General features: G+C 34.3%; 1 protein-coding gene across 57 annotated transcripts in view; it reads right to left on the reverse strand.

Annotated features, from left to right (window-relative positions):
* Positions 1-22,864, reverse strand: part of MPDZ (multiple PDZ domain crumbs cell polarity complex component) — a 173,986-nt gene that overhangs the window by 116,496 nt on the left and 34,626 nt on the right. For all 57 annotated transcript variants that reach the window (NM_001375425.1, NM_001375420.1, NM_001375419.1 and 54 more), the window contains 3 exons: positions 2,172-2,381; positions 1,369-1,508; positions 31-244 (listed from right to left, as the gene is read on the reverse strand). In NM_001375425.1, coding sequence (NP_001362354.1) covers positions 31-244; positions 1,369-1,508; positions 2,172-2,381 — 564 coding nt within the window. The remainder of the gene's footprint in view (positions 1-30; positions 245-1,368; positions 1,509-2,171; positions 2,382-22,864) is intronic.

Here is a 22,864-nt window from a genome sequence, read left to right on the forward strand (position 1 = left end):
CTGTTCCTTTTGAAAATTTTAGGTACTCACCGGATTAGAGTGAGCTGAAATTGTGCTGGCTGCAGATGGAGAACGGGAAACTATGGGGCTGACAAGCTGAGGCAATGAGCCTCTGGCAATAACTAGCTGGACAGTATCTTTGGCTTTCTGCAGGATGCTGATAGCCTGCTGATGTGTAATTGTCTGATCAAGAGCCTGTCCATTGATAGCAAGAATTTGATCAGTTTCTTTCAATCTTCCATCTCTATCAAGGATGCAAAAGGGGATAAAAGACAATCTGAGAGTTCTCAAGGAAATGACAGCTTCTTTGGCATGTATGTTCAAGTCATTTTTAATCCTATTTTTAATTCCCACACTCTAAGCTTTTTCCTGCAGTTCTACTTTAAAAAAAATACACGCCTTGGCTGCAGGTCATCAACTCTCGTAAGGTTATTTCACTGCTACTCCTACTGAACCCCTCCCATATAAAAGTACTCTTTATTTCAGCTACCTACTCAGCCTACATTACATCTTGGATATTCTCATCTTCTAAAAATGAAAGTGGATATATCTATACAGTTGGCCTTGTGTATCCATGGGTTCCACATCCATAGATTAGATCCCCAACTGGGGATCACATCCATAGATTAGATCCCCAACTGGGGATCACATCCATAGATTAGATCCCCAACTGGGGATCACATCCATAGATTAGATCCCCAACTGGGGATCACATCCATAGATTAGATCCCCAACTGGGGATCAAATATACTCAAAAAAAATAATGCCACAACAATAAAAAAATCACACAAATTTTAAAAATACAATATGACTACTAATGTTTACATAGGATTTGCACTGTGTTAGGCATTATAAGTTAAAGATGATTTAAAATATATGGGAGAATGTGCACAGGCTATATACAAATACTATACCACTTTATATAAGGGACTTGAGCACCTGCAGATTTTAGTACCTGCAGGAGTCCTGGAACCAATTCCCCATGGATACTGAGGGGCAACTATATTAAATTATTGCTCTGGGTACATAAAAAAAATGCAGCTCGAATTATTATGGGTCATTTCTAGCATGGTAATTTTAAAAATCTAATCAAAAAGAGCCCATTTAATTAACAATGAAAATAATGTTATCCTCAAATTTTTCTTTCCTTACCAAAACTTAAGTTATGACTATATCTAAAAGCTACTCTCATTTCAAAGAACCTGCTATTTTATCACAACAATGTTAATGACTTCTAAAAACTGGTTAATAACAGATTATGTTCAATTTTTTGTTGCCATTCATTATTATTTTTCTAAATTCCTGCATAGTAACCAAAACCTTCAGAATGTGGGATCAAAAACAAAGAAGACGCCGCGACCATCTCACCTATGGGCCACACTGCCCTCTTGTATCTCTTGAACAAATATTCCCAGCTCTCCTCTGTTTTCACTTCTTAGTCCCACAACACTAAACCCAAGGCCTCCAGATGGAGGTTTGAGGAGCTCAAAAACTTCTACATGGCGACCCTGTTTAGGAAACAAAGCAAGAAATAAAACTAAAAGCCAGGCCATGCATGGTGGTTCACGCCTGTAATCCCAGCACTTTGGGAGGCCAAGGTGGGAGGATCACTTGAAGCCAGGAGTTAGGGACCAGACTGGGCTACATAATGTGACCCCATCTCTATAAAAAATAAAATAAAACTTAGTAAGTGTGGTGGCACACATCTATAGTCCCAGATACTCAGGAGACTGAGGCAGGAGAATCCCTTGAGCCCAGGAATTTGGGACTGTAGTGAGCTATGATCACAACACTGCACTCCAGTGTGGGTGACAGAGCAAGGCATGTCTCAAAAAAAAACTTAAAAGCCAATTACTGCAGTAACAGTCATCTTATCAGAATCATTTCTTTGTTAAAAAAAAAAGAAATTGAATAACATTTTTCCAAGGTAATTGTTAGCACTTTATCCTGAAGAATATTTCTATAATACAACATATAATACTCAAATTTAAATGATGATAAAACTGTAATAGAAAACGTCTGAACCATCTAAACTCCCACAAAACTGACTTTTTGTTCCAATGTTTTCAGATGTTATAAATGTCACTATATTCTTCAAATTATCCATAACTTGATCACATTCTTAAATTACTACAGGTATTACAATAACTAACAGAAAGAAATGTTCTTACCTGGGCCATATTTTTGATAAGCTGATCAAATTCATCACAAGCAGGTTTCCCATTAATGTGTGGAATACCAGGTCCTGTAAGTGCTTCCAGATTCCCATTGTTTGGGGATAATAAAAACGATTCATTTTGCAGAGTAGGAATCACAGCTGGGCTGAGATGAGGAACGTGGGCATATTCAATATTTGAAGTTGCTGAAGTTGCAATATTTACCTAAGAGTAATGCAGGGATTATTAAGAATTTTGACATTCCATAAACTATTTCATAGAAAATATCCCAAGGGTACAAGGACATACAAATGAAATTTCAAAATGTCCAAATCCTTTAATCCAGCAATTCTATTTTGGGAAATTTATTTCAAGGATGAACATTAGGATAATACACAAAGATGTGTGTGCATCACTAAATGTTCAATGCAGCACCATTTATTAGATGGGAAAATTCAAAAACTACCGCCAGGGTTCAACTTCAGGGTACTCATTAAAACACACCCATAAATATATACATCCACACATATATTTTTCTGTCCCCAGATCCTATGAAGTAACCTCTAAACTCTCAGAATTTCCCCTCTCAGAATTTCCTGAGTGATGAGGTATCTTTCTTCTTCATGGTGGGCCCCAAGGCCACATGATATAAGCCCAAACTCGGAGCTGAATTTTAATCATATAGGCAGGGCAATCAATCACACCTATGAAATAACACGCCAATAAAAAATGCTGAACACCAAGATCAGGTAATCTTCCTGGGTTTGCAACACAGTCAAACACAGCTATACATGTGTTTGTGCTTTAAGCTAAGTGCTATTATGAGAGTCAAAAGTTTAAAAAAAAATTAAGACTTTATAAAGGAAAAAAAAGTTACAGTAAGCTAAGGTTAATTTATTATTGAAGGAAGTTTTTGTAAATTTACTATAGCCTAGGTGTACAGTATTTATAACTTATGTATAAACTCTATGCATAAGAGTTTTTTACCTGTCCTTAAAAATAAAACAGAAAACTCATTGTTACCAAAGTTACCAATAACTCAACCATTATATTGGCTATCTAGTAGCATACAGTATATTGACTATCTAGTAGTGTACAGTAATGTCGTAGGCCTTCACATGCACTCACCACTCACTCACTGATTCACCTATAGTAACTTCCAGTCCTGCAGGCTCCATTCATGGTACGTGTCTCCTATACAGGTGTACCATTTTTTACCTTTTAACCACATTTTTACTGTACCTTTTCTATATTTAGAAACACAGACAATTACCATTGTGCTACAACTGCATACAGTACTCCATATAGTAACATGCTGTACAGGTTGGTAGACTAGGAGCAATACCAAATAGCCTAGCTGTGTGGTAGGCTATATCACCAAGGTTTGGGTAAGTATACCCTACGATGTTTGCACAAGGATGAAATCACCTAATGACACATGGCTGTACTCTATACATATTGTCACACATCGATTCTGGGAGAGTTATACTTTCCCAGCAAAATGGAAGCTTCCAGTTTGGAATCCTCCCATAATCTGCACTACGCATCTCTTCCTTTGGCTGACTCTTGACTGCATCCTTTCCCTACCATAGATCATAACCATGAGTTTAACAGATTTCAGAGACTCTCTAAGACCTTCTAGTGAATTATGAAACCTCAAGGTGGCTAGGGGAACCTCGCAAATTTGCAGCTGACATCATAAGTGAGGGTGGTTTTGTGTATCCTTATACCTTTAACTTTGTAGCTGGACCCTAACTCGCCACAGTTGGTATCAGAAGTGTGGGGCAGCACTGGCAGTCTGGAGGACTGTGCCCTCAAATCGTGCTGTCTGGCTAACTCCAAGTACAATGACACACGTAACAACAACGGAAAAGATCATCCCACTTTGGGAAATGATTCTATAATTATTTGTGTGTGCCTTTTAAAAGAGTTTGAAGTTAAATCTAAATAATAATAAAGCAATGCAGTCAATCCTAATTTCATATTTATGTTGGGTGCCTGGATTGTGACTTTTTATCTGTAACTACTTATCAGAAAGCTTACTTCATTGATGTTTTTGAGTCACTCTCTGACCTCATCTCCTAGCAGTCTGTCCCTCACCCACTTAGCCCTAGCTGTGCTCCCCTCCTCACTGTGCCTCAAAGTGCCAAGCTGTTCACTCTACCAAACAGGTATATTCTTCCCCAAATATCCACATGCTTCCTTATTTCATTCAGGTGTGCCTAATCTCACCACAGAAAAGTCCTCCTTCGCATTCCTATCTAAGACAGCACCATTATACTCCACGAACTTACTGTGCCCTGTTTTAATTCATGGCACTCATTACCACCTGATCCACACCCTGCTGTCATGAAGCTTTCATCCCAGTCAGTGGAGACCGACTAGAATGCAAAAACTCTCCAGTGGAAATTTTTGACTATTTTATTTTTACTATGCCCTCGTTCTCTAGAAGAATGCCTTATACAGAGTTGTTCAACATACATTGGCAGAAAAAAAATGTTTATCTATTTTTTAAGGATCTAACTCTGATCCAATCTCCTGAACAACCTTTCAAGTATCATCTCAATGCTAAGGATGATGAAATTACGTAAAGTCACACAGCTAAGTTGTTTGTGACCTAGATTTTTTTTCATCACGGTGTTCCTATCATCCTTGTATTATACAGAAAACATACAGTCCTTGTATTATCCACAAAACATTTGAGATATCATTTAAAATAAAACATTAGGTAAAGAACATCCACTGACAGAAGCTATCAAAATATTTCACAATATGTCACCAAAATCTATACATAAGAGTTTGTTACCTATCCTTAAAAATAAAACAGAAAACTCATTAAGTTACCAAAGTTACCAATAACTTAACCATTATATTAGCTTTCTACAATCACAGATGAAAAAGAGATCAATGTGTTGAGAAGAGACTTTTGGGAATCCTTTTAAATGTTTATTTTAAAATCTATAGCAGGCATGATCAATTATTATTTTTTCAAAAGTAAGCTTCTTATGCCAAGATTGATTTTTTTTTTATCCTGAGCCATGGCAACTTCAATAAAGTTTGCCAGCAGAAGACACGCAGCTCAGGTTGAAGCAGATGGCATAATGAAATTTGTGACAGCCTGAGGATCCCACACACCAAGACCTAATGGCTATGGTATGTTTGCATAGGAAAAAATATTTGGACTTATGCTATGGTAAGCCAGAATGAACAAATCGCATCCCGAGAATAGAGAGTCTGTCTGTAAGAGATTCATGGTAAAAGAGAAGCTCTGATATTATGAAAGAGTAGGTATACAGGCATTCTAAGAGTAAAGTGAGTGAGAGCAGAACAAGTAAAATATTACAAAATGAGAACTGTATAAAAGTATTTAATATCAATTGTCATTTCCTAATTTGTTAAAGGTTTGAGGAAGGTCAATGACTCCTCCTGCTTCATCCCTGACCTTGAGGTCTACATAAATGTAAAAGCAGAGGTTATAGAGATCACATATTTAAAAACTATTATTTAATTATACCACCATACAAAAGTCTTATTTATAAATTGGCAAATTTATACTCATAAGAAAAAGCAGAAAGGCACCTTTGATTATGCTGTAATTGTTTATTAAAATGGCTTTCTGAACTATAATCTCTTTGAGGAATACGAGTGTATCTTATTTGCCTTGATAGGTCTGTTCATAGCAGTCATGCCACAAATGTTTAATGAAAAGATCTTGATTCTCATCCTTGGTTTATAGAATATAAAATAAACAAAAGAAAACATAAATATCTGGCAATTTTTATATACAGATAAACATTCTGTATAATTTATGGAAGTTGTTAGTAAATGAGCAAGAGTCACCAAATAATTATCTGTTTTCTGTTTAAGTTCTGGCTGAACATTTCAGTCTAAAGGGGGCTTTTATGTATTTAGCAAATAAACATATATTAATTTATGGATTTTAATTAGTGCTATTACCTAAAACATAACCTAAATATTATACAACTTATTCAATTTAAAAGTTTGCAAATTCTATGTGAAAGGGCAAACTAAAACACCTTCTAAGTATTTAAAAGTACAGGAAAAGTCCTCTTATAAGATGCAGTCAGAACCAGTATTGATTCACATACTACAAAAGGTCAAGTAAAGCAGAAAAAATAACAAAGAAAAAATATGTACCTTATTTTAACTTAAAACACATGTATATTCATTTGTATATAGGATTTCTTCATACATGCAATTTGTTCAATCTTGCTTACCATAGCATAAGCCCAAATACTTTTTACTATGCCAACATACCATAGCCATTAGCCATTGGTGTGCGGGATCCTCAGCCTGTAACAAATTTCATAATCATAAACATCTTTTATCATAAATATATTTTACAGTTTGACCTAACATAACTAACAATTTCACCAATAATTGTTTTATCAATTCACCTATATAGTTTATCAAAATATTTTCATAGAAAAACTTGTCATAAATTTGTATATTATATAATAAAGTTGTGCAATTATAAAATAAATACAACTGGTACAAATAGCTTTAAAAATGACTTTTTGAGAAATGCACATTTAGCTGGTACAAGCTAGCGAAGGACACAAACTAGAGCATCTCTGAATAGACAACTGTTTAGTGCCCTGGGTATCATTCAATATGCCTTCCAGAAGAAATGGACAGTATCTTCTTAGGAAGTTCCTCATTTGCAGGTGTGCTAGGAGAGCTGTTTCTAGAGTAGCATCCAAGAAAACATAATTTATCTTTAGTTCTATATACAATGAAGGTCACTCTGTGTGAATAACTGTATCAGAGTAACCTTTCCACTGAGAACAATTAAAAATGTGTATAAAAGCTGTTAAAAACAAATAAATAAACCACTTTAAAGGTATCAAAAAGAAACCAACTCTTCTGCCATACTCTGTTGATGCAAAGAAGGCAGTATCCAGCCCACATTAAACAGGGGAATATACAGAAGCATGAATATCAGAAGGCAAGAAATACTGGCCATCTTAGAGGCTGACTAGAATGGCATATCATAGCAAAACAGCTAAAAGCCAAGACAGAAAGAAAATCTTAAAAACCACTAGAGCAAAAAGGTATCTAATCTTCAAAGCACAATAAGACCAACAGCTGACTTCTCAAGAAAAACAATAAAGGTCAGATGTTAACAAGATGATTTAAAAAAAAAAAAAGATAAAAATACCTGACAACCTAGATTTTTCATGCCACACACCACACTTACACACACACACACACACACACACACACCCCCATCCACCCCACACACAATTACCTTAGATTTGTATAAAAGAAATACCAGAGTAAAATCTTGGGCAGAAAAAAAATTAAATCTCAGAAGATCCCTATGCAGAAAGTATTATAGTACAAAAAGGAGTTTAAAAATGTAAATCAGTAGGAATTCCTTAAACCAGTAAATAATTTAAATTTGTAGAGCTTTAAATATATATGTAATTAAAGTACATACAGTTGCACAAAAGGTAGGAGTAGGGTAAATAAAGTTGAAGTGTTTTAAGTTCCTTGCATTTTTTGGAAAGTGGTAAAAGTACTAATTAAAGTAGAATCAAATAAGTCAAGGATACATATATCTGACATATGACTCATATCTAGAATATATAAAGAAAACTCAAAATTCAATAGTAAAAAAAATCCAACTAGAAAATGGGCAGAAAAAAACAGACAGACATTTCATGAAAGAGGATATATGGCTGGCAAATAAGTACATAAAAGAAATTTAGCATCATTAGCCATTAAAGAAATGCAAACTAAAATCAAAAAGAAATATCACTGCGTACCTATCAGAATGGTGAGGATGTAGAGAAGCTGGATTGCTCAGACATTGCTGGTGGAAATGTAAAATGGTACACCCCACTGAAAAATAGTTTCGCAGTTTCTAAAAACAACTAGATATGCATTTACCATACAATCTAGCAATTGCACTCCTGGATATTTATTGTACAGAAATAAAAACCTAGGTCCACACAAAATCCATACACAATCGCTCACAGCAGCTTATATATAATAGTGAAAAATTGGAAACAAAATACCCCTCAGTAGGTAAATCCAATAAGAAATACTACTGAAAAATAAAAGAAGAAAAATATTAATATATGCAACTTCAAGATATCAAGGGCATTATGCTGCATGAAGACAAGCCAATTTCTAAAGGTCACATACATTATGATTTTATTTTTATAACATTCTTGAAACGACAAAATTATAGAGATGGAAAATGAATTAAAGGTTGCCAGGGGTTACAAATGTAAGAAAGTGGTTAAATATGACTATAAAAGAATAGAATAAGGGAGATATTTGTGGTGATAAAATAGATCTGATCTTGATTGTGGGGATAGCTAGGTTAATCTATATAAGTAAAAACAAACAAACAAAACAGAGGGAGAGGAGGGAAACGGGAGGGAGGAATTTAAAACAAATTTTTAACTGAATGATAATGAAGATACGACATACTGCATATACTGCAAACTACATCCAGAAATGTTGGATATGCAGCTAAATAAATGCTTAGAAACTTAGACTTAGATGTAAGAGGGAAAAAAAGGAAAGACAAAATGTCAATGAGCTAAGCATCCGAATCAAAAAGCTAAAATAAAACAGAAAACCAAATCAGAAAAGGAAGAAAATAACATATATTGCAGCAAAAATCAACAAAACAGGAAAATGATACAATAAAGAAATTCAAAAAAGTCAAAAAGTTGATCTTTGAGACAAAGATGAGAGTAATAAAACTGATAAACCTCTAACAATACTGATTAATATAGCAAACATAAATTTCCAGCATTGGGAATAAAAAAAAGGAACATAATTAGACTCTACAGGCATGCAATAACCATATGCAAAAAAATGGGGAAAAAAATACATGAAATGAACAAATTCCTTGGTAACACATTTATCAAAATATCAATAGTTTGGCCAGGTGCAGTGGCTCACACCTGTAATCCCAGCACTTTGGGAGGCCGAGGTGGGTGGACTACTTGAGGCCAGGAGTTCGAGACCAGCCTGGCCAACATGGCAAAAACCCATCTCTAATAAAAATACAAAAAATTAGCTGAGCATGGTTGTACGCACCCATAATCTCAGCTACTTGGGAGGTTGAAGCACGAGAATCACTTGAACCTGGGAGGTGGAGGTTGCAGTGAGCCACTGTACTCCAGCCTGGGTGACAAAGAGCAACTCTATTTAAAAAAATAATAATAATAGTAATTTTATATCTATCAATGAAATTGCATGCACTATTAAAAATCCCCCCTCCCCGCAAAAATAAAACAAGAACAGGTTTAGAGAGTTTCACTGGTAAATTCTTCCCATTTTTTTTTTCTGAATTAACATCAATTTTTTGTGACAAAAAAAGGCTGAATTGTTCTCTACTTTTTGTTTGAGGCCAACATAACCTCAATTGCCAACTCTAACAAGGATTATACTAGACAGAAAAGCTATAGATCATAAACATAAATAGAAAAATACTAAATGAGAATGTTAACAACTCAATTCAAAGATACTTAAAGAGGAAAATGATTATGACCAAGTTGGGCATTCCAGAAATGTAAGGTTGAATTAACACTTGAAAATCGTTTAGTCTAATTCACAAAATGAACAGAATACAGGAGAAAAACAGGATCAGTTCAAAAGATGGGAGAAAAAAAATAATGGATAAAATCCATGCTATTACCACTTCTATTCAATATTAGACCCAAGGTTTTAGGTAATACAATAAGGCAAGGAAAATAAATTAAAAGTATAAAGACTAGAATTGAAGAAACAAAAACTGTAATTATTTGCAGACCACATAATTGTGTGTACTGAATATCCAAATGAATCCACAAATAAACCATTAGCTGTAATAAGTGAACTTAGTAAGTTGGTGGATGTAAAATCAATACCAAAAAATAAACTGTATTTCCCAGCAAAACAATTAGAAACTAAAATGTTTTCTAAAAATCTGTTCAAGATATGATTAAATTTGTTTAATTGGAACACAACATAGGGTTTAGAAACAGACCCACACATATATGACCCCGTGATTTACAACAATAGTGACAATGCAAGGGAGAAAGGATGATCTCTTCAATAAATGGTTCTGGGTCAAATGGATATTCAAATGGAAAATTATTTATAAACATACACATGCACATAAATACTTTATTTCTACCTCACACCACATTCAAAATTTAAAAGGTAAAACTTTAATAAAGCTTCTGAGAGAAAATCTCTGTATTTTAGAAGTAGCCACAGGTTTCTTATATAGGGCAAAAAAGAAAAAAAAAGCAATACCCACAAAGAAAAAAATTTATTTTTAAAATTTAAAATTTGTTTTTAAAATAAAAACAACTTCTGGTCATTAAAAGATACAATTAAAGGAGTGAAAATGCAAAACACAAAGGAGAAAATGGTTACAATACAAATATCCAGCAAAGAAGTTGTATTCAGGAAATATAAAGAACTCTTGTAAATCAGTAAGAAAAAGACTGAAAAATCAATAGAAAAATGGGTGGAAAAAAAAAAAAAAAAACCAGGAACTTCCCAAAAGAAGATATCCAAATGACCAATCCCATATGGAAAGGTGCTCAGCATCATTACTCATCAGGAAAATGCAAATTAAAACAATAAAATGATACTATAACATATCCCCCAGAGTCATTAAAATTGGAGAAAATAAATTTAAAGTGGGTAGTACTAAGTGTGAGCATTGATGTGGAGCCACAAGAACTTTCATACACTAAATATCGTGAGAGAGTTGGACTTATAATCGCTTTGGAAAACAGTTTGGCAGAATCCACGAAAGCTGAATATATACCTTAGGACCCAGAAATATCACTCTTAAGTGAACATCCAAGAGAAATACACACTTATGAATATTAAAACATAGGTAGTAGGAAGTTTACAGCAGATTTATTTATAACAGCCAAAAGCTGCAATCAACAGAAGAGTGGACAAGTATATTCTAGAATATTCAAACAGAAAATGAAAAAGAACTACTACTACACATACAATACAAATGAATCTCACAGACACAAAGACAAGACAAAGAAGTCAGGCACAAAGCATATATGCTCAGACTGTATTTACATAAAATTCAAATAGTAATACTTATCTCCGAGATAAAGTCAAAATAGTGATTCCTAAAGGGGAGGATTAGGACTGACTGAAAGGTGAAACAAATTATGAGTGCTGATCATTTTCCATATCTTGATTTCGGTGAGGGTTACATGTATATTTAATTTGTTAAAAAAATCCTTGGGCACACTTTTTCCCTTTAATGTATGTTATTTCTCAAGTTTTCAAAGTTTGCAAAATAAGACATATAATCAAAGCAAAAACTCTGGGGCATTCCAGTGAATGATGTAAAAACACGCCTCTTAAAGAAGGCAAGTAGTAGCGACAGCCTGTATACATAAAGCTACACCTTGTCTATCCGCAACTATGAATTTAAAGTTCATTCACCAGACATTCACCTTAAAATGAATGCAGAGCACAGGAACTAAATAACTGAAGACAAAGTTGGTCTACCACTGTGATGTGTGGCCCTCCACAGGGTTGATGTGGATTCAACTGGCTAATTCCCATTCCCAGAAGGAGTCCTTTAACAAGTGCTCAGGTAAAGATGAATCCTCAACAAACATATTTTAATCTCTGTAATACATTTAGATTTGTCTTCCCAAATATTATAAATTTTTAAAACTTTTAATCATTTTATTGCATACCAAATTCTTTTTTGGAAATAATAATTATGCCATACTTTCACACTATTTTGATATATGCTGGTACAAGGCTAATGTAATTATGAGATTTCAAGATTATAAATTACTTATACTTCTTTTCAATAATAACATTTATAATATTTTGACCATATAACAATATGATAATGCACTCAATTTTAACCCAATAGAATATTTTCAAATACATATATTCATTTAACTAAATGTGCTATAAAGCATTAAAATATCACTTCTTATATTTCATCTATTCCTTCTGAGTTGTTAAGTGAAAAGAAAGTTAATATTAATAGCTTTGTTTTAGTGGTTACCATCAATTTTTGCATAAGTATTTCTGTAATTACCTACAAAAATGACTGCTTAGGATCAAACTTTATTTCATAAAGCATTTTTTGGTAGATTATCAAAATCTGTTTTATGATTCTGTTATTTTGACTTATTCTCAATACACAGTATAGCAGTAAGAATAAAATGACCAAAATACTTATGTTTGATGGATATTATATCATTTAAAAGCTAAAATATATGTTATCTTAAATTAGGTTAGTAAGAAAAAATGACTACTGCTTTTGCAACCCTAGTTTTGGTAAACTGTTTAAACTGACATACATTGCTAGTTCAGTTTCCCATATTTTTTGTTTATTTGCTACACCTTATTGTAATGAGAAACAAGAAATAAGCCATTCTTCAGGGAATTTGCTGTAACAGACGCACCTCTTAGAAATGCAGAATTTTTTTTTTTAATCATGCACCTTGTATTTTCTTCTTGCAGGACAAAAACATGTGCTTTTTTTCTTGTGAATTTACCAAAAATGCTGTAAAACACTCTCTGGAAATGATCCCAACTATGAAATGCAAAGATAGGATGCTGAGAGCATTCAATGAAATACAGCACCAAACATGATAGCAATCACAAGAAAAATTTTTTATACATGATAGGACTCCATTGCAAGTTTGGAACCTAGAGAGGCCTCCTTTTTCATAAATCTTTCAGTGAAATACTGATTAAAGCACAGCTCTGATGCATTATTGAACAGGCAAACCCTTGCACAGTAATTGATGGTGGCACTCTGATTTAATGACCCTTATTTTTAAAGCTAATTAAAGAAATTGAACTGCATGTTCAAAGGGAATTAGCTTAATGTGACGAAACTATTTTGGACATAAGGTAGCTCCTAGCTCCTGAACTAAATGAGACACAAAATGGAGCAATAAGTTATAAGAAGGGAAAACAATATTTTCAAATAGAACAAGCACAATTTTACATTTTCTATGAGACCTTCCTTTCATTCATTCAAGTATTTATTGAGCATCTAAAATGTCTTAAACATCACTAGGTGATAGGGATAGTAATTAAAGTGACAAAATGCTTTCCATAATCACTAATGTGTTAAATATCCTATAAAATTATTCTACTAGGCTTAGTTCACTCAGATACTGAGATAAGATACCTTTCTGTTCACAGCCATGAATTCTCAAATACCAAAACATAGTGATTGAGAACACACATTATACTTTGCAGATATTTTTAAGTAGCCTTTGACTATCATTTGCTGATAAATTTAAAAGATAAGGGTATTCAATTTAGAAAATAAGTCCTTAACCCAAGAATGCTGATGGAGTCATTTTAAGTAATCAAAATGTAAATTTTCTGCACCTGCCCCTATATAGGTACAAAGCATATTTGTCTTAAAATTCCCTTGTGCTAAAAAAGTTAAACTGTGAACTATAAAATTAAAGACAGAAAGCAAAGAACACTTAAAAACTAAACAAGGAAATAAAGAGTATGTAAGACTCTGACTTTTCCCTTTTTATATTTGGGAAGGTGTACCTGGATGATCAATAACCTACCCAGTGTAACACTGATTGTTATAACCTGTTAAATGACAAAATCAAATACAAAGCTATAGACTTTAGCTTTTATACAATGCTGTCGACTTAAGTGGATGAATGAGGAGTTAACAGATTATTTTAATATTTTAGTTTTTATTCAAACCTGCAAAGATCTTATTCATTCTTAAAACTACGTAATAAGAGATTTTTATTAAAATCAATCCACAAGGCATACTGCACTAAATGCTGGGTTTTGTGTGTGTGTGTTTCTGTATATATGTGTGTGTGTGTGTGTGTGTGTGTGTGTATATGTATATGTGTGTGTGTGTGTATATATATATATATATATTTTTTTTTTTTTTTTTTTTTTTTTTTGAGACAGAGTTTCACTCTTGTTGCCCAGGCTGGAGTGCGATGGCACAATCTCAGCTCACCGCAACCTCTGCCTCCCAGGTTCAAACGGTTCTCCTGCCTCAGCCTACCAAGTAGCTGAGCTGGGATTACAGGCATGTACCACCCACCTGGCTAATTTTGTATTTTTAGTAGAGACTGGGTTTCTCCATGTTGGTCAGGCTGGTCTCGAACTCCCGACCTCAGGTGACCCGCCCACCTCAGCCTCCCAAAGTGCTGGGATTACAGGCGTGAGCCACTGTGCCCAGCCCTCCATGTGTATTTTATAAACTCGTTTTCTTCTTCTTTAAGAAGGCCTAAATGACACTAAAACCTTTGGGAATATACTTAGGTAAAAAAATTAAAACTCCCACTTCCCCAAATTTCATAAAATATTTATGAACACTCGAATAAAGATTGGAAAATAACTTGAAGTTAAAACATAGTTTTGTTTTAAAGTCTTTTCATTATTGTTATCAAAAAATTGTTTACCTTCTTTTTTAAAAACTTCGCTCCTACAATGAAGTAGAACGTACCAGGATGTTTTACCTCTCCCCTGAGTTTCCACCGAGATCCTAATTTCAAAAATAATGGGTTATTTTTTCAAATACGTTTGATCTTTTTTAATAGTATCTTTATTTCTTATTATTGTTACTGGGTGGATAGAATTGTCCAAGATACGCTGAAAAAAAGACTACAAATTGCTTTCAGCGCCTATCATAAAGAGCAATATTCTATTTCTCCATCCTTTAAATTACAAATTCTTGATACAGTAAAACTTGTTAATTTTATTAAATCTTGACCCTCAAGAACATGTGTTTTTCATATTCCATGCTTCAAAATGGTAAGCAGGCCAGGAGCGGTGGTTCACGCCTGTAATCCCAGCACTTTGGGAGGCTGAGGTGGGCAGATTGCTTGAGTCCAGGAGTTCGAGACCCGCCTGAGCAGCATGGCAAAAGCCCGTCTCTACAAAAAAAAAAATTGCCTGGCTAGTGGCACACACCTGTGGTCCCAGCTACTCAGAGGCTGAGGTTGGAGGGTCACGGGAGCCCAAGAGGTCGAGGCTGCAGTGAGCCATGAGCATGCCACTGCACTCCAGCCCAGTCTACGTGACAGAGCAAGACACTGTCTCAAAAAAAAAAAAAAAAAAAAAAGGTAAAATGGTAAGTACAAAGTGTTTATGCTGCATAATAAATTCAATGATTGTCTCACAGAAAACACTAATTTGAGTTGCAAGCTGAACTAGCCTAGCTACTTTTTTTGTATCGTATTTGAAAAAAAAAAATTACTGAAAATCAAACTATGATTATATAGACTTGAGTATAGAAAAGACATTTTCTCAAAAATAAACAAAGTAAGCCTGTCACTTCAAGGAAGACAACAGACAGTATTTGCCGCCCATAATAAAATTTGAGCTTTCAAGTGAAAATTAGAATTTTAGAACATCTGTATCTGCCACCTTGAGCTTGACACCTTTCCATAACTTGAATTTGTTGATAAGACTGCAACTGATATCAGCAAGTATAACTTTTGTATATTATATAATGAAATGAGAAATGTGATTTTTCCATTTTTCAAATTTTCCAAATGACCAATGAAATATAAATTAAGCTTTAGTTAAAAAAAATTCAAAGAGCAAGATAGACAAATAGATTTTCCTGTAGTAGAGAGTGAAATACTTATTGATTTGGTTTCAGATTTCACAGTGATATAGGAGTTAAGAAGAAATTACTTAGGCAGATAGCGAGGGTATAGTCCTTGGTAAGGTTTTCCAGAAAAGCAGCCCCAAAATCATTTTCTTCTCTAACAAAGAGCAGCCTGTGAAACTGAGCTGCAGACATAAACAACCAAGCTGTAAGCTTGCACAGGTGAATGCCAGCAGTTGTGCCCACTGGACTATACTACCTGGGACTAGGCATGTTCAAAATGGTGGCTACATCTTCTCTTTTTGCCAGCCATGTGTACAGTAAGGAGCAGACAAGATGGCAAGAGCCAAGTGGAAAGTCCACTTACATAATAAGATTACAGTGGGGTGACCAGCCTTCCCCTCGAACCGTGTAAACAACATCACACCTGGTCAAACCAACCGGAGAGCCCTACGTAAATCAGACACCCCCTTCTCAAGCCCGCCTATAAAATATGCTGCAGTCGGCTGCCTTGCCCCTTCTTTCGGATGCCTCTCTCTGGCAAGGAGCTGTTCTCCTCTCTCCTTTCTTCTGCCTATTAAACTTTTCATTCCTCAACCCACCCACATGTGTCCGTGTCCTTAATTTTCTTGGTGCAAGATGACGAACCTTGTGTATTTACCCCAGACAACAATGCTACTTCAACAGTGCAACTAAACTTTAAGAAAACTCCACAAATTTTGATGCACTATCAAAGAAGGATACCACAATTATCTGAAAAGCTGTAACCCTCCCTTTCCCAGCTTACATATCTGTGTGAGGCAAGATTTTCTTCAAAAACATCAACTAAAACAGCAAATCCAAACATTGAATGCAGAAGCCGATGAAAATCTAGTATTCTGCTATTAAGCTGCACATTAAATATATGTGCAAAAATATAAAATAGTGCCACTCTCCTCAATTTTTAAACATGTAATGGGTTTACTACTGTGATTTTTAAATAAATAAATATTTAAAACACTTCTGAATTTTGATTTCTAACATGGCATATATTGATAGATAAAACCATATGAACAAAAGATTTTTGCAGACCTTAATAATAATTTATGACTACAAACTGATCAGGAAACCAAAATGTTTCACAGGATATATGTCTTGAGAATAAATTCTTACTTAATATCACCTACTAATAAATATCATTACCAGAATACAAATCTGGATCAGGTTTGTCTCCAACTACTATTAGACCACGCTGCCACAATCTGAGATCAGATAATCATAAGAAGCCCTCAAATCACCCAGAAATCCTTAAACTATATTCACTATGCTGTGTAAGAAGAAAATAAAACAAAAAATATGGAGTTCTATGATTAAGATCTAGGCTCTGGAGTCCAGCCTGCCTGGCTCTACCACTTAACCTCTCTATAACCCCATTTCCCTATCTATAAAATGAGGAAAATCATATTACCGACTTTATAGTATTGTTGTAATGATGAAACCATTAACTATAATAGAACTAGAACAGTTCTGGGCACACAGTAAGACTTTATGCTATGATAATTGCTATGATATGATAAATGATGTACCTTTTCAATGTCATTGCTAAGAGAAAAAGTAGGGTCTCCAAAATAACTTCAGTTATTTGGTTAATTTACTTAAGTTAAAAACTAGTTGTCTGGCAAGGAAAGATAAATAATGAATGACAGTTTTGAATATTTAAGAATACTCATGCATTCATTTATTAAGCAATCAGTTTTAGAGCTTAAGTATCATATAAGGTACAAAGTATTTAAAGATGAATATGGCATGGACTTTATGCCAAAAGTGGTAAATGGATGTCAAGCAAACCTGAAATACAATTAATTCTAAGGCTCCTTTTTATGCTTGTTAAGAACAAATGGCAAGTGGAATGTAGCATATACCACAGTCTAGGCATGTGTGTTTATGCATATTTACAGAATGTCTTTTCTTTATTTAAATCTCAACAATTCTGTGTTTTCTTAGCTAAATTTCCAAGAGAAAAAAATTTAAAAAGTGTAGCTTGAGCAAAAATTATATTCTTATCAAGGTATGCTGAAATTTTCTACATCATAGTGGGGAAGGTATCAAAATTAAGTAAATTAATCTATTTGAAAATGGAAGGCAAATAAGTAATTTAGAAACTGAAAATTTAAACAAACAACATGTTAGAATTTTTGCAGTGTTTTTCCTATCAGTCCCACATTTCTAGGAGACAAACTGACTCACTGTTCACAATCTGCTTAGAGGAAAATAAAAATAAAATAAAGCCTTACAGAGAAGTATAATTATATAGGAATGGACACATGAAGACTGATAATATTTTGCCACATTCTCTCTCCATTCCACTATTATCTTTAACCAGATCATTCACTTTAACTTTAAAATCTAGCAAAATTGTTAATATAACCAGAATGAAGTACTGGTTTACGTTAAAAAGAATCTATGATTAAAATCTGGGAGAAGAATTTATAGGACATGGCATATTTTAAGTTAATGAATTTGAGTTTAGATGATGTTTAGCTGAAGTGCATTTCTCTTCAGGGATGCTATTAACAGTTTTTCCATCTTATTTGTTCATTAACACAGAGAACTAAGGATTCAGAAACAGTGTAACATAATAAAAGTAAAAAAAAAAAAAAAAAAAAAAAAAAAAGACTGGCTTCAGGGTTAGACAGACCTCAAATTCTCTTAAGTCTATCAATGAATAATTGTGTGGGTCAGATTATGTTATACAAGCTAACCCCCAATTTCCTCACTGGATAAAATGAGGACAAAACCTACCTCCTGGAACTGATGGACTAGTTAAATGAGGCAAAGTCTATAGCACATAAGGGCTTCTTGAAAGGTAATTGTTGTAGCTTCAAGTGAAAAATAAGGCCTATTAGTCTTAAATTTGGAGGTTAAAAAAAACTCATTTAGGTTATAACCAGTAAATTTCACATTTTTTTCCTTCTCCTCCAAAGACCATTTAACATTGTCACAAAAATACCATACAATTATCACCATTTGCTGTTTTAGACACACATGCATAGCCAATAGCAAGATGGTGTTGCATTTTAATCCAGCACTGTATAAAAAGCTTGAACAGTGCCTTCTTGCCCACGGTAAAACAAAAATTTTAGTCCCTTCAATGGCTCTATATTTACAAACTTTTAGCTAAAGGAACAAACATTTAAAAGCTGTTATTGTACCAAAAATAAAGTATTTGAAATTCCTACAGTAAATAAACTTTACGGTAAATGTAAAAACATAAGAACCACTCATTCTCTTTTAACTTCTCCTAGATAATGCACACTAGAGTCTCGAGAAATAGATACTTTGCTGTCAGGTGGCTACAAAGCTCTATCATAAAAGTAAAACTATTTCAGGTGTAAGAAAGATCATTTTCATTTTCACAAGTAACAACAGCTGGGAAGAGTTCCACTCCATTTTTAAATAATTCTTGTTAATGAAATCAAAGCATATTTCTTTCGTTCTGTCCTCCTTCCCCTACCAACACCAAGTCATAACTTAACCTAGACATTCTTGGAAAGACAGTAGTCATCTCCCCTTTACTGATAGCAAGCATATAGGTGAATCATCCTCCTTTCGGTCTCAAATTAGAAACTATAGGGAAAGGGTCATTTTTAGTTTGTTATTTATATAAGAAGAGAGGGAAACACAGGCACTTCTGCTCTTTAAGATATGAATCAAACAAAACAGTATCTTTCTGATTGTCAAAGTTAAAATAGAGCAAGAAAATGCTCAGTTCACAAAGTTTCTCATTTTCCCATCACTCTAAAATGATAAATGTAAGAAATTATTTGAGCTGCTGCTGTTGCTACTTAAAAGCAACATACCTCAACACTTTGGCCATGAACTCTTCGCAGTCGTACAAATCTGTATCTACAGAATAAAGACTCCTCAGACATGTCCTGGTATAGTGTGTGTTCCACCTAACAAACTCTGCTTACCTCAGATATTTGAAGCTGAACCTCTGAAGTACACATTGACTACCTGACTACCTACATTTCTAGGTTTTCTAGAATTTGCTCCTGTTTTGAGCATCAGAAAAAAAAATTCACACAGAGTGTATATTACTTGTGTGGCCTTGGGCAGAAAAACCATTAGTAAATTAGGATGTGATGCTGTATTCTTAGAATTAGTAAGATGAAAGCAGCATTATTTTAAAGAACAATTACTATATTTCACAATTATAACTGAAGATCTTACTTATCAAAATGTCATTAAAACCACTACCTTAATTTTATGTTAGGATGCTTTTTTTTTTTTTTTTTTTTTTTTTTTTGAGACAGAGCCTGGCTCTGTTGCCCAGGCTGGAGTGCAGTGGCGCAATCTGGGCTCACCACAACCTCCACTTCCTGGGCTCAAGCAATTCTCGTGCCTCAGCCTCCCCAGTAGCTGGGATTACAGGCATGCATGAACACGCTCGGCTAATTTTTGTATTTTTAGTAGAGATGATGGGGTTTCACCACGTTGACCATGCTGGTCTCGACCTCCTGGCCTCAAGTGATCCGCCTGCCTTGGCCACTGCATCCAGCCTGTTAGGATGATTTTATCATGTTAAAAAATGTGAAGAAATAAAAAACAAAATGATTGCTAAAATAATGTACATACTAGAACAATTAGAAGACAAAGTTAATACAATATCCAAAAAAAAAAATGCAAAAGAACAAAGGTGATTAACCAACCAACAAATAAAACATCTTACTTAAAAAGGTTCTTCACAGTCTGGCTCCATAGTTTCCTCTCCTGCCAATACCCCTCATATAATCTACTGCTCTGATAATATAGGTCTGCATGGGGCTCCATACCAGGGTTTCTCAACCTCAGCAATGCAGACATTATAAGCCCAGTCATTTTTTGCTGTAGGAGGCTGTGCTGTACATTGAAGGATGTTTAACAGCATCACTGAACTCTACCCATTACCTGTCAGTAGCAGCTCCCGTATCTTCCAGTCACGACAGTAAGAACTAACTCCAGACATTGCCAAGTTTCCCTCGGGAATGGAGAGCATAAAATAATCCTGTTGTGAACTGCTCTGTATCCCTGTAAACATTGCTCTCTCTACCTGAAATCATTTCCCCCACCTCTGCAGAACTCATTTTTCAAGACCCATTTTCCATGCTGTTGCCTCCACTGTGAGGTTTTCTTCTAGTAAAAGTTACTCATTCCTTCTTTACTATTCACCTTCTTTGTTTTCTTTCTGTTCTATTTTCCCCTCTAGATAGTGAGAACCTCCATCTTATTATTCTTTGTATTTTTATTAATTTTAGATGTTCAACAAAGCTTGATTATTAAATGAATATAAGAATATGAGCCTCCATGAGATAACCCACCCATTGCCAAGGGAAAACTGGTTCACTGAATCCCACATTGAACAATACATAGTCCTTCAGTTCTATCTCTTTTTTTTTTTTTGCTTTGCTTCTAGGAAACAAATTAAATGACATACTCAATTTTAGTAACCCAAGGTCCTTGGTATATCTAGTTATGTGACTTTTTTTTTGGTCTTTGTTTAGGTTTACATTTGAATCATTCATTATTTAACAAGTCTTGCCATTAGAAGTTGCTTCAAATTCTTTTTGAAATGTAATTAACAAAAACTTACATAGAAATATAAAACCAAAATTTTACATCATGAAGATCTCATTTCACGAAAAAATTTCAAAAAAAGATCTAATTACTCTAATCAACATTTAAGAGTAATTTTCAACCCTGATCCCATGTTAACACAGCATCTCTACAGTTATTTCAAGAGTTGTCATAAAATTTCCAAAGAAAAGTCTGCCTTAATTTTGTGTGCATACACATTACGCATCTAGATGATATATGTGTAAGCCTACACTTTTTGGGAGGAAAGTAAATGAACTAAAAACCTGGAAATATTAAAGAAACACCAACAACAAAACAATAGAATGCCACACTCCAAAAAGTCTGAAGGTCACTGACGAGGAGAGACCTCCTGAATATTCTGTGCTGAGGTTTATTTGCCATCTAAGCAGCTTTTGCAGCCTGAGTCATCTACATTATTTCTCCAATCTTGGAATTGGTCTCTGTTGCCATAGCTTTAAAAATAATCTTAGCAATGTCGATTTTTAAGTATTGGTCCTAAATTTCTATTGAAATTAATCATTTTAATTCTCAGTTTTCCTACAGATAATTCAGGGTAAAAAGATTAATTTAGTGCCACTGGTCAATTCTTAAGGCAACGCAATTAATTAATCAAGAGAGTAGCATCCACCTATACTGGACTGGAGAAACTTCATAGAATAAATATGCAAATCCAATATCCTCAAGGCTGACAAGTTTCTATTATTAAACTGCTAACGTGTTTATTTCCCCCACAATAGCTGGATTTTTGTCATGAATACGCATTAAGCCCTGTAGTGATTAGCAGTGATGACTAGGTGACAGTGAGGACACTACTTGAGAATTTGCATTTGACAGATCATTGACACACAGTCACAGTTCTTTTTTTTTCTCTTCACTTAAACAGGAATCATGCAATAGGAAATGAACCAGAGCTATTAGAGATTATTCAGGTTTAATAGCATGCATCCTTTTAGCTGGCGTTAGAACAATACACAATGTGGCAGAGTTAAACAGAGACATCAATTATATTCTCAGACCTGCTAATATTTTTGACAATATTTAAATAGCACATCCCTTCAGGGCATGGCTTTTTTGCCCTCTCAGTTACACACCTGTCAAGTGTTTAATTTGCCAAAGGGAAACAGTTTGATTTCTAAGGGCAGTCTTAATACTGAAGAAGCAAATTGAAAAAATTAAACATTATTGAATAGAAGTAATGAGAAGGATCTGAGGGGAAAAAATTGTAGGCTTAATTCAACATGGTATGTCAGCATCTGTCATTAATACAACAATATGATCATGTTCTCCAATATGCTGCATATACCTCAAGCTTTTCAATTATTCAGTCCCTTTACTTCTAAAAAAAACAGGAGACTGATGGAGAGGGAGAATCAGAGGGTCGTATTTTCTAATAATAGTAAAAAAGATGGAGATAGTAAATTGCAGCTGTCATGCATATAAAATTATACATTTGAAAACAGGTAAGGTATGAGGTAATAAATATAAGCTAGCCATT

The sequence above is a fragment of the Homo sapiens genome, chromosome 9, assembly GCF_000001405.40.
Source record: "Homo sapiens chromosome 9, GRCh38.p14 Primary Assembly".
NCBI classification, from domain to species: domain Eukaryota; kingdom Metazoa; phylum Chordata; class Mammalia; order Primates; family Hominidae; genus Homo; species Homo sapiens.